The 14,196-nt window shown below is 49.5% G+C and overlaps 1 protein-coding gene across 18 annotated transcripts in view; it reads left to right on the top strand.

The window, feature by feature from the left end:
• Positions 1–14,196, top strand: part of SULF2 (sulfatase 2) — a 129,222-nt gene that overhangs the window by 46,128 nt on the left and 68,898 nt on the right. For all 18 annotated transcript variants that reach the window (XM_047440296.1, XM_047440295.1, NM_198596.3 and 15 more), the window contains exon 3: positions 3,558–3,797. In XM_047440296.1, the coding sequence (XP_047296252.1) occupies positions 3,558–3,797 (240 nt within the window). The remainder of the gene's footprint in view (positions 1–3,557; positions 3,798–14,196) is intronic.

The following is a 14,196-nucleotide window of genomic DNA, read 5'->3' as shown; positions in this document are numbered from 1 at the left end:
GTTTGGTGATGTGACCCTGGGCCACCCCCACCCCTGGTGTGCCTGATGAAGTCACCACTAGAGGACCCCCTTCTGGGTCACCAAGGGACCATTCTGAGCTTAACTGAAGCCAAGAGTGGACCAAGAGCATGGGGACCTCTATGCACTTCCTCAGGACACTGTTACCACCTCCCGTGTGACTGTGACATTTTGTGAACGTGAAACTCAGCACCCCGCCTCTGCTAGGCTTGAGTCTTCACTGCCTTCCCAGCTGTGCAGCCTTAGCCAGTCATTCAGCTCCCCAGGTTCAGTTCCCTCTTCTGTCAAATGGGCCATTGGGAGAATTAAGTGATGAATGTCTTCAGCCCAGCCATAAGCATTCAGCCAGTGATAGTCGCCACTATTAATTATAATGATTATTACTGGCATAGAAGACTGCCCTCTTCCCCAGGAATAAGTTGGAGTGCTCTCAGTTCCTTAGCTATATCAGAAGGTTGCAACACCCAAGCCTTCAGGGGTCGGGCAGGTAATGAGAGTGGGTGCAGGTGGTGTAAGACTGTAGGGAGCACGGGGGAGTGTGGCAAACTGGAGAGCACATATCCTGTGTGATGCTATTTAATGTCACATTTTTAAAACCCACTCTACAAGACACCAACACACAGGTCTGTGGACACCAACTGGTTTGGATTCCTGAGATATGAAAACCCGAGTGTAAGATAGTATTTTATATGTTAATTTAGCTGGTCTCTGTTGAGCACATTATGTGCCAGGCACTGTGCTAGGCAGTGAACAAAGTAGGCTGAGTCTCTGCCCTTGTGGTGAAGGCAGCAACATACAAATAAGTGAAATCAAAATGACTTATGTTTGAGGACAGTAACTGCTGTGGAGAGACACGGAGCGGGGAAGCAGAGTGGAGAGTGCTATGGGTTGCGGGAGGTGGTTTCAATACAGGCCAGGGAAGGCCTCTCCAAGAAGGTGGTGTCTGATCAATAACTTGAAGGAGACAGAGGTAGCCCTGTGATTGGAGGAGTGAGAGCATCCCAGGCTGGGGGTACGGCTGAGGCAGGGGCCAGGAGGTGGGAGGGCGGCCAATGTGCAATACTGGGACCTCAGGGGCACGACCTTGGTGCCTTGATTGGTGGTAAAAATTTAAAGTAGAAGCAGCTGATTGCTGAGCAGAGGGCCTTCCCCAGATCCCAGGAGGCTGCAGTGGGTCTGATGCTTGTTTTCAGGTTTCTAGGGGGTTGCTAGGTGATTGGGATCACAGCCTTCACATGCCTGGTAGACCCTGTTTTGGTTTCCCACTGCTGTCCTAACAGATCACAAACTGGGTGGCTTAAAACAACAGAAATTTACTCTCTCAACAGTTCTGGAGGCCGGAAGTCCAAAATCAAGGTGTTAGCATGGCTGTGCTTCCTCAGAAGGCTCTAGGGGAGAGCCCTTCCTTGCCTCTTCCAGCCCTGGGGACCCTAGGAGTTCCTTGTTCCTTGGCTTGTATGTGCATCCCTCCAGTCTCTGCTTCCCTTTGAATGTGGCCTTCCCCTCTGTGCCTGTGCGTCTTCTCCACTTTGTGTCCTATGTGGACACTTGTCACTGGATTTAGGGCCCACCTGGGGAATCCAGAACAAATCTCATTTCAGTAGCCTCAATTTAATTACATCTGCAAAGACACCCTGTATTGGTCTGTCTTCATGCTGCTGATAAAGATATACCCGAGACTGGGTAATTTAGAAAGAAAAAGAGGTTTAATGGACTTAGTTCCATGTGGCTGGGGAGGCCTCAGGATCATGGCAGAAGGTGAAAGGCACATCTTACATGGCGGTAGGCAAGAGAGAATGAGAACCAAGCAAGAGGGAAAACCTTTATAAAACCATCAAATCTCGTGAGACTTATTCACTACCAAGAGAACAGTATGGGGGAAACAACCCCCATGATTCAACTGTCTCCCATCAGATCCCTCTCACAACACGTGGGAAATATGGGAGCCACAATTCAAGATGAGATTTGGGTGGGGACACAGCCAAACCATATCACCCTCTTTCCAAATATGGTCACATTCACAGCTTCCAGAAATTAGGACATGGTCTTATCTTTAGGGGACGGGGGCACCGTTCAACCCACTGCACACCTTAAGAACTGCAAGGAAAAGGGGAAAAACCAAGGATGGCCATAGAAGAAGGAGAGAGGGTTTCCATGGAATATTTCCATCAAATCACTAAGGGTCTGGGTACCAACCACAGCATACAATTGAGCATGCACTCGTCACACCTATGTTGAGTACCCACTGTGTGTCACACACGGCAGCAGTGCTGAGGATTCAGCGCTGAGCGGAGCACACAGCCTTTGCCCTCCTGGGACCTTGGCCTGCACGCAGTAGGGCTCCCACACACGTTCATTTGCTTCCTTCCTTCCTTCTTGCCTTTCTTCCTAAGTGTCTTGCTCTGCTTACAGCTTGGTTGAGAAACAAGAGCAGGCATGGCCAGGCAAGGTGGTTCATGACTGTAATGACAGCACTTTGGGAGGCAGAGGCAGGCGGATCACTTGAGGTCAGAAATTCCAGACCAGCCTGGCCAACATGGCGAAACGTCATCTCTACTAAAAATACAGAAACTAGCTGCGTATAGGGGCTACTTGGGAGGCTGAGGCAGGGGAATCGCTTGAACCCGGGAAGCAGAGATTGCAGTGAGTCAAGATCACACCACTGCACTCCAGCCTGGGCAACAGAGCAAGACTCTGTCTCAAAAAAAAAAAAAAAAAAAAAAAAACAAAGAAAAGAAAGAAACAAGAGCAGGCATGACCGAAACCTCGAAGCCTGGGGTATGATCAGTACTCAGGACACATGCTGCAAGACTGCTCAGAGCTCTCAAGCCCAGGGTGGTGCCAGAGGCTCCCTACGAGAGGGTACTAGGCCGATGGGTTGGATTTGGGGTGAGGGGTGGTGGGTTCCAGGCTCGAAGAAAAGTGTGGACAAGAGGCCAGCAGGGTTTGTGGCTGATGGCAGAGCACCTCAGCCAGGGAATACTCAGGGAGAAGGTTTGCCACCAGGTTGGCATGACCAGATTTCAGTAAGAGCAAACAATTATTGGGAAAGTTCCAAAGAAAAGAAAGTATAATCTTCCCTCAATTTACATGGTGGTTGGTTTCCAAAAGAAAAAACAAAACAATGTATATTAATACCCTGCAAAAACAATGTTGTGTTTAAAATTTGTAAAACAGTTTGATTCCAGTCTCAGGTCATTTATAAACAGGTTTTTACCTGCCTTGCAGGTAGAGATGCAATTACAGTACCGGACAGTGACAGTACAGTCACTTACAGTCACTCACCTCCAGCACCATTGCAAAATCCTCCAGACTCCAGACCTGGACCTCAGGAGTGTCCAGGTGGACTCGGGACCCAGGGTCCTTCCTGATTATGCAGGACAGTCCCACCGTGCAGCAGTGGCCCCTGCCCCGTCTGCCCCGTAGGTCTGCAGAATGTGCCCACTCCAGACCTAGGGATGCCACGTGCTGAGAGCCCCCTGGTGCCGGTGCCGCCCGGGTCTCCTGCCCTGCGCCTTACTTCCACCCTTGACTTGCAGGTTCCATGCAGGTGATGAACAAGACCCGGCGCATCATGGAGCAGGGCGGGGCGCACTTCATCAACGCCTTCGTGACCACACCCATGTGCTGCCCCTCACGCTCCTCCATCCTCACTGGCAAGTACGTCCACAACCACAACACCTACACCAACAATGAGAACTGCTCCTCGCCCTCCTGGCAGGCACAGCACGAGAGCCGCACCTTTGCCGTGTACCTCAATAGCACTGGCTACCGGACAGGTGAGCAGGGACGGGGGCAGGTGCAGGAAGGGAGTGACAGCCAGGGCGGGCGTCCCTAGGTGTGGTCTGCACACCACTGCGGTACCCAAGTTGATTCTGGATAGCCCCTAGAGCAACTCTCTTATAATTTCAGAGTTGTGCATTTATTTCTGTGTGTATTAAAGAAATACAGATTTATTTGCCTACAGTAGTGATGTAAAGTGACCTTGTCAAAGGAATTTGAGTCCCCCAAAAAAGTGAGTCTTTTCAAACTATGAATCATAGTGTGGAGAGGCCATAAGGTGCCCATGCATGAGTTTGCATCCTCTGTTAATAGTTATTAAGCCCATCAGGGACTGTTTCGTTGACTTCAAACCATTAGCTTGGAAGAAGGTTCCAAAACATAGGGGTGGGGGATGGGAATTCATGGAGGGGAACAGATAATGGGGCTGTGTGGTCGCTTTCTACGTGGCAGTAACCAAGGTGGTGCAGAAACTGACATGGTGGTTGACTGTCCACACTCACCCGTGTCATCCTGGGTGGAGGGCGACCCAGTTCCTGTTTGCTTATCCTTCAGGAGGTCTTTGGTGGGCTCTGAAGGCTCACCTGCCAGGCTGGTTGTCTGAGGTAGAGATGCAATTACAGTATAGTCACTTACCTGTAGCGCCATTGCAAAACCCTCCAGACTCAATTCATTTAACTTGCTTTAATTAAAAATAAATAAATACTCCCCGCCTTGGGTAAGAAGCCGCGGCGGTTGTGAAATCAAGATATTGTGGCTCAGATGTTGCAACCCCAGGAAGTTGCATCCAAGTGACAAGGGGTTTGTTTGGGTGGGAGTGCCGCAAGGGAAGGATGGACTCCTCCTCCAGCCCTGTCCGCAGTGCTGGACCTGCAGCCCTCGAGGCTGGGCAGCTTCCTCTCAGATACACAGTGTGGGCTGGCAGGGATGCTTTGGTGTGGGGAGCAAGCCAGTAAGGTGTGTCTTCTTACAGCCTCATCCCATAGCCAGAATCACCTAGAAAGTATGTTCTGCTGAGAACTAGGAAGGCCTCGTTCCTATACCTTGTTCCTGTGTATTGTGCGTGCCATTATGCAGAATCAACCACCTGTTGGTTCCCCTGAGCCTCTGCAGAAAGCCACATGTGTCAGAAGTTACCATGGCCACCACCCTAGATGATTGGCGGGGGCCTGGATGTTGCTAGCAGAAGCAGGACAGGCAGGCCCGCAGCACAGCAGTGGGCCCTTATTGAAGATGCACCTGCAACTTGGCTCTAGAAAGTACAGCCATGCACTCAAGAGTGACCAGCCTTGAAATGTTTTAAAGTCTGAATATTTCACTGAAAATCTTATTTTAAAATATGCCGGCACAGCTTATTTTTTCTTTAATGTATACTGGGGGCCAAAGAAAATATGTCTGAGGAGTGAGTGTGTGGCTCACAGACTCTCTTTTCACAACCTCTGGGTGAAAGGTCTGTACAGAAACCTTTCGTTTTGGATGCTGGAAGATCAGTAAAGACCCTAGACCTGTTCTCATCAATCCCCCTCATTTCACAGCCAGGGCCACTGCAGCCCAAAAAAGAGACCTGCCCAGAGTCAAAGTGAGGTGTTTGTGGCATAATCAAAATGGAATGCAAGATCATGGGAATTCAGAGGGGGCATGGAAATAGTATTCATCAGACTGAAAGGAAACTCATATATTCTGTGCCATTTTGAGGGCTCAGGGTGGGAGCTAAAGGCTAGTGTTTCAAAATCTTACAGGCGACATGAGAAAATCAATCATTTCAAGAATAAACATTCTCTAAAGTGGATTTCCCAAACTTGTCCTTGAATGTATGCAAATCACCAAAAAGCTGTCTCCCTAAATAAGTGCTTTTATTCAACTATGATTCATTATTATACCCTCATGAAGACTGGGAGCGTAATGTCAAGTGTAAAGAGCCAGATACCGAGAACATTTACGTTTTTGTAAAACTGCCACTGAGAATTTTATTCATTATATTTAGAATGCCACTCTGTACAAAGAATCCCATTCCAGCCTTACTTTCAGAACTCAGGACCCTGAAAACACCTGTTTAGTCTGATGAACTGGTGTACTCCTTGTTATTACATAATAAGAGCCACATACCCTGTATAGTTTCCCTCTTTGCCCTGGCAGCTAGGAAGCTCAGGTTTGAGTTTTATATTGAGTTGTTGTTTAAAGTGGAAATGTTTTTAAAGATCCAACTGCGTGATATGTTATACTGATCAGTGTTGACTAAGAAAAATGACAAAAATCTATAATGAATTCAAAACCTTTTAGATTATTTTTTCCTTTTAGATTGATTTGTACATACATATTAGAATATACTGTAAATTTTTAATCCCCCAAGGACCAAAAGTAAATTGTTCCTGCTGAGTCTTCAGCCATGTTAAACCCTGTGTTCACGTGGCCACCTAGCAAAGTTGGTTCAGTTGGATTTAAGTTTGGCTGTGTGTGTGAGAGAGACCGGGGATGTCAAATAAAATTCCAAGTTGTTCTGGTGGCCCTGCTCTATGAAGTGGTCAGAGACTCCGACTCCATTTCTCCTTATTTCCCATTGGTGAGAAACAAGTCATATGGCCATGCATGGCAGCAAAGGGGCCTGGGAAATGTAGTCTTATTCTAGGTGGACATTTGCCCAGATGAAAGTTATTTTACTGTGGGAGAAGAAGAAAACGGATACTGAAGGACAAGTGAAGTCTAGGCCACCCTAACAGTTATTAGCCATTTGTGTTTGTGATACTCGTTTGAATAGAGGAGATCAGCCCAAACTGAGGAAGACTGACCCCAGAAAAATGCTACTTAAGTGGACCAACATTTCATAATAAATAGTGCTTTTAATGTATTTAGTAAGGTATTTGATCTTGAAATGAAACTACAATGTTTCGAGAATAACTCTGTTATGTTACATCTCTTTTTTTCTTTTTCTGAGACAGAGTCTTGCTCTGTCACCCAGACTGGAGTGCAGTGGCACAGTCTCAGCTCACTACAACCTCTGCCTCCTGGGTTCAAGCGATTCTCCTGTCTCAGCCTCCTGAATAGCTGAGATTACAGACGCCTGCCACTACGCCTGACTAATTTTTGTATTTTTTGTAGAGATGGGGTTTTGCCATGTTGGCCAAGCTGGTCTCAAACTCCTGGCCTCAAGTGATCCACCTGCCTTGGCCTTCCAAAGTGCTGGGATTACATGCATGAGCCAACGCACCCGGCCCTCTGTTAGGTTGCATCTAATGATATTTAACAAATATTGGGCTCTAGTTGCAACTAATGAGTTGATTCTTCAAGCAAGTGAATTGACGAAGTGTAGGGAGGAATATAATGTGTTTCACAAATTGAAATGGATGGCACAAGATGATATCCTTTACTTCACTAGGGACATTTTTGCAAAAGTATTTGAGGATTTGATCAATTTTTTCAAGGGCCTCTCCTAATTCTCTGACATCTGAATCTTCCCCTGTGAAGTGCATCTCATACTTCATCATCCTTCTCAATAGTCTCTTCTCCTTCATGTAGTATCTTTATAGACCAGGTAATTATTCGTCAGTGGATTTGCATGTGTTTTTTGAGCTATCTTCCAGCGTCATTTTAATTAATTTTACAAACCCTGCATCTTTTAAAATATTTGCAATTTCATTTTGCAGTGATCTTGCTTTGCATGGCCCCATGTTTGCAGTGGAGATTGACAAAAGACAAAATGAGAGAAGCTAAGTTTAAGCAGGATAAATATCAATTTGTTCATGAATATTTCTCTGTATGGCTTCTTACAACTTGAGGGACTTGGATCTCAGATATGAATACCCTTGGAAGGATCAATTGCATCCTCAGGTTTTTTGTTTTCTTTGTTTTTTTGTTTGTTTTTGAGACAGGGTCTCACTCTGTTGCCCACGCTGGAGTGCAGTGGCGTAATCTCAGCTCACTGCAACCTCCACCTCCCGGGTTCAAGCGATTCTCCTGCCTCAGCCTCCCCACTAACTAGGATTACAGGTGCGTGCCACCACGCCCAGCTAATTTTTTGTATTTTTAATAGAGACGGGGTTTCACCATGTTGGCCAGGCTGACCTCGAACTCCTGACCTCAAGCGATCCACCCTCCTCGGCCTCCCAAAGGGCTAGGATTACAGGTGTGAGCCACTGCACCTCGCCACATCCTCAGTTTTTACAAAGGTTTTATAGTCATCCTTTAACACAGTTCAGCAGTTGAAGTGCTGTTGCCCTGCCTGTGATCACTTATATATCCACAAGTCAAAGTTGTACAGTGTTCCCAGAATGAGACACCTCCCAGCTCTCTGCAGAGTGGTTGAGGGCATTAGCTTTGCCTGGGTTTGAATCCAGTCTCTGCTGCTTTCTGCCTGCATGAACTTGGACAAGTTATTTAGCTTCTGTGTCTTGGCCTCCTCAACCACAGTTAATAATGTCACTTAACTCATAGAGTTTTGTGAAGATTAAATACATTAGAACAGTGTCTGGTACATGGTCGTGGTAGGCACTTGGGAAATTTAGCAATGATGGCTGGGTGCAGTGGCTCACACCTGTAATTCCAACATTTTGGGGGGCCAAAGTGGAAGGATCACCTGAGGCCAGGGGTTCGAGACCAGCTTGGGCAAAATAGTGAGATCCCTTCTCAATTTTTAAAAAACAGTAATAAAAAAAAGTTAGCAATGACGATGACGATTTGCACAATAGCACAACATCACACAGCCCACCTCAGGCCAGTGTTCTGATGAATGTCATGGTAAGTTGCACTCATGGATCAAAATGTGGCAGCATGTGCTCAGCCTCTGGTAATCAGCAAAATGCAAACGCAGCCAACAGTGCATTATCACATCCCAGCCATGACCACAGCAAATATGAAGAGGTCCCATCGCACCAAATGTTGGTGAGAATGTAGGAAAACAGGAAATCATATGCGCCAGCAGCATGATGGTAAATTGTTCCCTCCACTTTGAAGAACAGTTTGCCAATTTCTGGCAAAGCTGAAAATGGACATCTCCTTCTACTCAGCAATTTTACTCTGGCTGTGTCCCCCTCGGTTCTGAGGAGGTGATGTTGATGTGTGAGTTCTGCTTGAGCAAGGGAACACACTTCCTGGCTGCCCTGTTTGCTCTTGAAGATGTGTGATGCTCATGGCAATAGATTCCCTTTAGATCCAACGGACAGGAACCCCGACTGCAGCTGGCTTCAAAAACATTGAATTTTTTGCTCCCTAAACAGGCCAGGCACGGTGACTGAAGCCTGTGATCCCAGCACTTTGGGAGGCAGGGATGGGCGGATCACCTGAGGTCAGGAGTTCAAGACCAGCCTGACCAACATGGTGAAACCCCGTCTCTACTAAAAATACAAAAATTAGCCAGGCATGGTGATGTACACCTGTAATCCCAGCTACAGGGGAGGCTGAGACAGGAGAATTGCTTGAACCTGGGAGGCGGAGGTTGCAGTGAGCCGAGATCGCACCACTGCACTCTAGCCTGGGTGACAGAGTAAGACTCTGTCTCAAAAAAAAAAAAAAAAAAAAAAAGAGAAGATACAGGTGAGTAGCAGGCAGAGTCGGATCTTGTGGTTTACGAGTATCATGATCATATCACGAGGCTGGAGGTCTGGACATGGTGGCTGGCACTCCAGCAGCTGTGTGCCTCCTTGTCCACATCTGGCAGGAGCAAGAGAGCATCCTTTTCCAGAATGCTCAAGGCATGAGATCCCTTCTGATTGGACCACCCTGAGTCACATGCCAGCCCCTGAGCCAATCATCATATAAAGCACATGGTTTGTGCCAACTTGCCCAGCGTGGATCACCTGCTCTGCAGCAGCTGGCTGAGTCCCTTTTTCCCCAGCACTTGGACTGCCAGGTAGAAATCAAGGGCTGCTGGAAAGAATAAGGAAAAGCATACTGGAGTGCCGATCACAATTTTACTACACTGCCTTTGGCAAACAAAAAACAAAAAAAAAGTAACATCAGCTGGCCGGGCACAGTGGCTCACGCCTGTAATCCCAGCACTCTGGGAAGCCGAGGAGGGTGGATCACAAGGTCAGGAGTTTGAGACTAGCCTGGCCAACATAGTGAAACCCGTCTCTACTAAAAATACAAAAATTAGCTGAGTGTGGTGGTGGGCGCCTGTAATCCCAGCTACTAGGGAGGCTGAGGTATGAGAATCACTTGAACCCAGGAGGCGGAGGTTGCAGTGAGCCGAGATTGCACCACTGCACTCCAGCCTGGTGACAGAATGAGACTCCATCTCAAAAAAAAAGTAACAACAACAAAAAGGCAACCTTTTCCAGCTCTTTCTGGTGAACTAGATTGGAGTGCCATTTTCTCCCCATTGGGATAATGCCTTTCTCCTTCCACACCTGAATCTGGCAGTTCTGAAGTTGTTTCCCAGCCCCAGCTTCTGCCATCCGGTCCAGACTTTCGCAGAGATGGTGGCGGGCCCTCTGCCCTTCTGCATCATGTTCTAAAATGCGTCAGGGGAGCAGGGGGTACATGCTCCTTACAAGACCAGGCCTTGCCAGGGCTCTCAGTTGGAGCCTGTTTTGGGGTTTGGCCCTGAGCGCCCCAGTTATTTTCACTCTTCTCGCACAAAGCTGGGTAGAGAGGTCAGCTGAGGACCAGAACCTGGCCATCAGCCTTGGGCAGCTACCCTCACCAGGGTCTGGGGGGCCTCTGTGTCCTGATGACCCCACCCCATCTACACTACACTACACTTGGGGCACCCCATCGCCCTCTCACACAGGAGGATGGAAAGGCGCCCGCTAGGCATTTTGGCATCCCCAACAAATGAGACTTGTTTTTTCCCTAAAGCGGTTTCATTCAGGACCGCAGGGGCAGGAGGGCTGCTGCGTGGGCCGTCCTCCTCTGCAATGCTATAAAGTGGCCCAATGCCCCTCTTTCCCTGCCACTCTCTGGATCTACCCTTAGCCCCTTGCCCTGAACCCCATCCACCCTGGCCCCTCTGCCTCCTGGCCATCGCCCCAGAGCTCTCCCCAGCACATCAAGCATGAGTCCAGCATCACTTCCTGGTCCCCCGCCTCCCCGGCGCCTCTCACAGGCTTCTCCTCGGCACCTCCAGTTTTCCAGTTGCTCAGGCCAAAACCTTAGCACCATTCTTGATTTTTTTTTTCCTATTCCTTTCACACTCCACATTCAGTTCATCAGCAAACCCTGTCAGCTCTGCCTTCAAAATATGCCCAGAGTCCCCTCTGCTGCCACCAGCCCATCCGCGCCACTGTCTTCCCCGCCTGCCCTGTTCCAGGTTTCTCCTGGGATCCCCCAGCTTCTGCGTTTATGACCCCTTGGTCTGTTTTCAATGCAGCAGCCAGAGGGGTCTGGTCAGAACCTAGTTCAGATGCTCTTTCTCCTCTGGGCAGAGCCCTCCTTGGCTCCCACCTACTCAGGGTAGAGGCCCCGACAGCCACCTCAGGGTCCCAGTGATCCTTCCCTTCTCTCTGAACCCTCTCAGCCTCCTGGTCTCCCCTCAGTCACTGTCCTCCAGCCACAGCTTCTCAAGCAGTCAGCCACACCTGACATGCACCCACTCACAGTGCTTTGCACTTCTTTCCTTTTCTCAAAACTTCTACACGTCTGCACTTTCCTCGTGTCTGTGTTCCAATGCTGCCTCCTCAAAGAAGCCTTCCTTGACTACCCCATGCCTCCTGTTCATCCCAGTTTTTTCCCACCAGTGCCCCCATCACCACTGAACACCACTGACTGTGTATTCTGCCCATTTGTCTCATTGATTGTCTCGTTTCTAAAATGCCAGCTCTCAGGCTGGGCGTGGTGGCTCACGCCAGTAATTCTAACACTTTGGGAGGCTGAGGCGGGTGGATCACTTGAGGTCAGGAGTTTGAGACTAGCCTAGCCAACATGGTGAAACCCCATCTCTACTAAAAATACAAAAATTAGCTGGATGTGGTGGCGCAAGCCTGTAATCTCAGCTACTCGGGAGGCTGAGGCAGGAGAACCACTGGAACCAGGGAGGTGGAGGTTGCAGTGAGCCGAGATCACACCACTACACTCTGTCGCTTGGGTGACAGAATGAGACTCTATCTCAAAAATAAATAAATAAAATGCCAGCTCCCTGGAAGCAGCGGCCTCTGTTCTGTGCCCTCGCGGGTTGCCAGGCCTAGAGAGTGCCCACCCCATCGTAGGTGCTCAGGAGACCTTCCCAGGATGACTGGTGACTAAGTCTCCACATTCTGTCCCCGCCAGCAGCCCACCCCCATCTCTTCCACACTCCTTTCTCCTCTCCCGTTTCTCTCCTCTCCACCCCCACTCCCACCATCTCAGCCTTTCCTCCTCTTTCTTCTCAGCCTCTCTGCACACACAGGGAAGAGAAGACTGAAATTATTCCCGGGATGCCGTCCCTGGGCCCCTGGTGCAGCTGTCCCTGCCTTCACAATGGCAGCCTTCTCTTTGCTTGGCTCTTCTCCTGGGTTTGCTCCCTGCTCTCTTCCTCTCTCCTTGAGTGCACACAAGTGTGCACGCACGCACGCACACACACAGCTCCCTTCTTCCCTCGGTCCAGCTGCCTCTCATCTGCCCATCTTCCCTCCCCCTCTCCGGCCTGTGGGGGGACAGCAGAGCCTCTCCATTCACCCCGTGGAGTGTATCCACTGCTCACAGCAGGTAGCCTTCCTGTCTCTCTGCAGCGAACACCCAGCCTTCCCCACTGTGGGGATCCGAGTATCCACGGGAATTGCACAGCCCCTCCTGGGACCCAGGCTGACCCAGCGTGTCCTCGAGAGGCACGGATTTGCCGCCTCCGTGCACATCTTCAAGCGAAATTTCTTCCTCTAATTTGATAGTCACTTCCTTTCTCTAAGACCTCAGATTTCAAAATAAGTGAAGCACTTGTTTTGAGCAAGAGTCTAAAGAATTAGACTCCGCCTTAAGCGCCCTTGTGACCTTGAGCTGAGACCTCATCCCCTCTGGGCGTCAGTCTCTCCATCTGTGCAGCAGTGTTGTGACATCTAAGCACTAGTCACCCAGTGCCTGTGATAAGACGCCACCCTGAGTGATACGTGACCTGTGCCCACAAACCCAGGAGGAGAGGTTCCCTGCGCCGTAAGAGGAAGTGGCCACGGGGAAAGAGGAAGCTGATGTGAGGCCGATGGGGCAGGGTTTCCGATTGTTTCCAGGCGACACCCTCTCTGTCCCACCCCCTTAGCAGGTGTATCCACTTCCCTAGTGGACCACAGACTGGGTGGCTTAGAACAAAAGGCGATTTTCACAGTTCCGGGAGCCAGAACCCCAAAATCAAGCATCATCAGGGCCACGCTTTCCCTGCAGGCTTCAGGGGAGGGTCCTTTGCCCTTGAGTTCCTGGGGGTTGCTGGGAATCTTGGCACCCCTTGGCTTGTGGCCACATCACTCCAGCCTCTGCCTTCATCTTCATGCGGCCTCCTCCCTGTGGGTCCCTCTCTTCCCGTGGCCTGCTCCTCTCTGAATCAGTGTCCAAATTTCCCTCTTCTGTCAGGACACCAGTGATTGGACTAGAGCCCGCTCTGATCCAGCGTAACTTCATCTTACAACACCATGTTACAAACACGGTCACCCTCACAGGTACCTGGGCAAGGACTTGAGCATATATTTTGGGGAACACATTCATCTCGTGACGGCTGGTTTCTTTCACACATTAAACCCCGCCCCCCCCCATAAAGGCTGCAGAGCCGATGTCAAACTGAGCAAACCTGCCGCTCTTCCCCTCTTCACTGCCCCAGCTGTGGTCCTGGGTGGGGAGCAGTGTGGCCGCCCTGAAGATCAGCTCCATGCGTAGCCTTCCCTTCCCAACCATGGTTTCTCTCAAGGAATCTCCACCTGCAGTGGGCGTTGAAACAGCTGCAGGGTCAAAAGTGAGGGAAGGGTGACTGTGGTGACAGACAGGCACACCCTGTCTCCTGGGCCTCAAGAGGCTTCCGGGGGTTTCAGAGTGCATGAGACCTTTTGTAGTCCTCTCCTAGGTGCTAGCTGTGACTCCCTGAACATTCTGGAATGAGTTAGGCTGGAGCCAAATGGCCCAGTACCGTTGCCACTAGCCACAGGGAGCTATTTAACTTTACGTTAATTACAATTAGCATTTCAGTTTCTCAGGTGCACTAGCCATGGTTCAGGTATTCAGTAGGCGCACATGGGTTCTGTACTGGATAATGCACATAGAGAATGTTTCCATTGGCACAGAAAGGACTCTTGGACAGCAGGAGAATAGAGCCTATGGCTGGGCCTGTAATCCCGGCACTTGGAAAGGTCGAGGCAGGAGGATCTCTTGAGGCCAGGAGTTTGAGACCAGCCTGGGCAACATAGTAAGACCTGTATCTTTACAAAAAATTTGAAAAAAAAAAAATTAGCTGGACATGGTAGTCCATGCTTGTAGTCCCAGCTACTTGGGAGGCTGAGGCAGGAGGATCACTTG

This window comes from Homo sapiens, chromosome 20, assembly GCF_000001405.40.
Source record: "Homo sapiens chromosome 20, GRCh38.p14 Primary Assembly".
Lineage (NCBI taxonomy): Eukaryota > Metazoa > Chordata > Mammalia > Primates > Hominidae > Homo > Homo sapiens.
The sequence above is the reverse complement of the archived record's forward strand: the minus strand, read 5'-3'. Positions and strand labels throughout refer to the sequence as shown.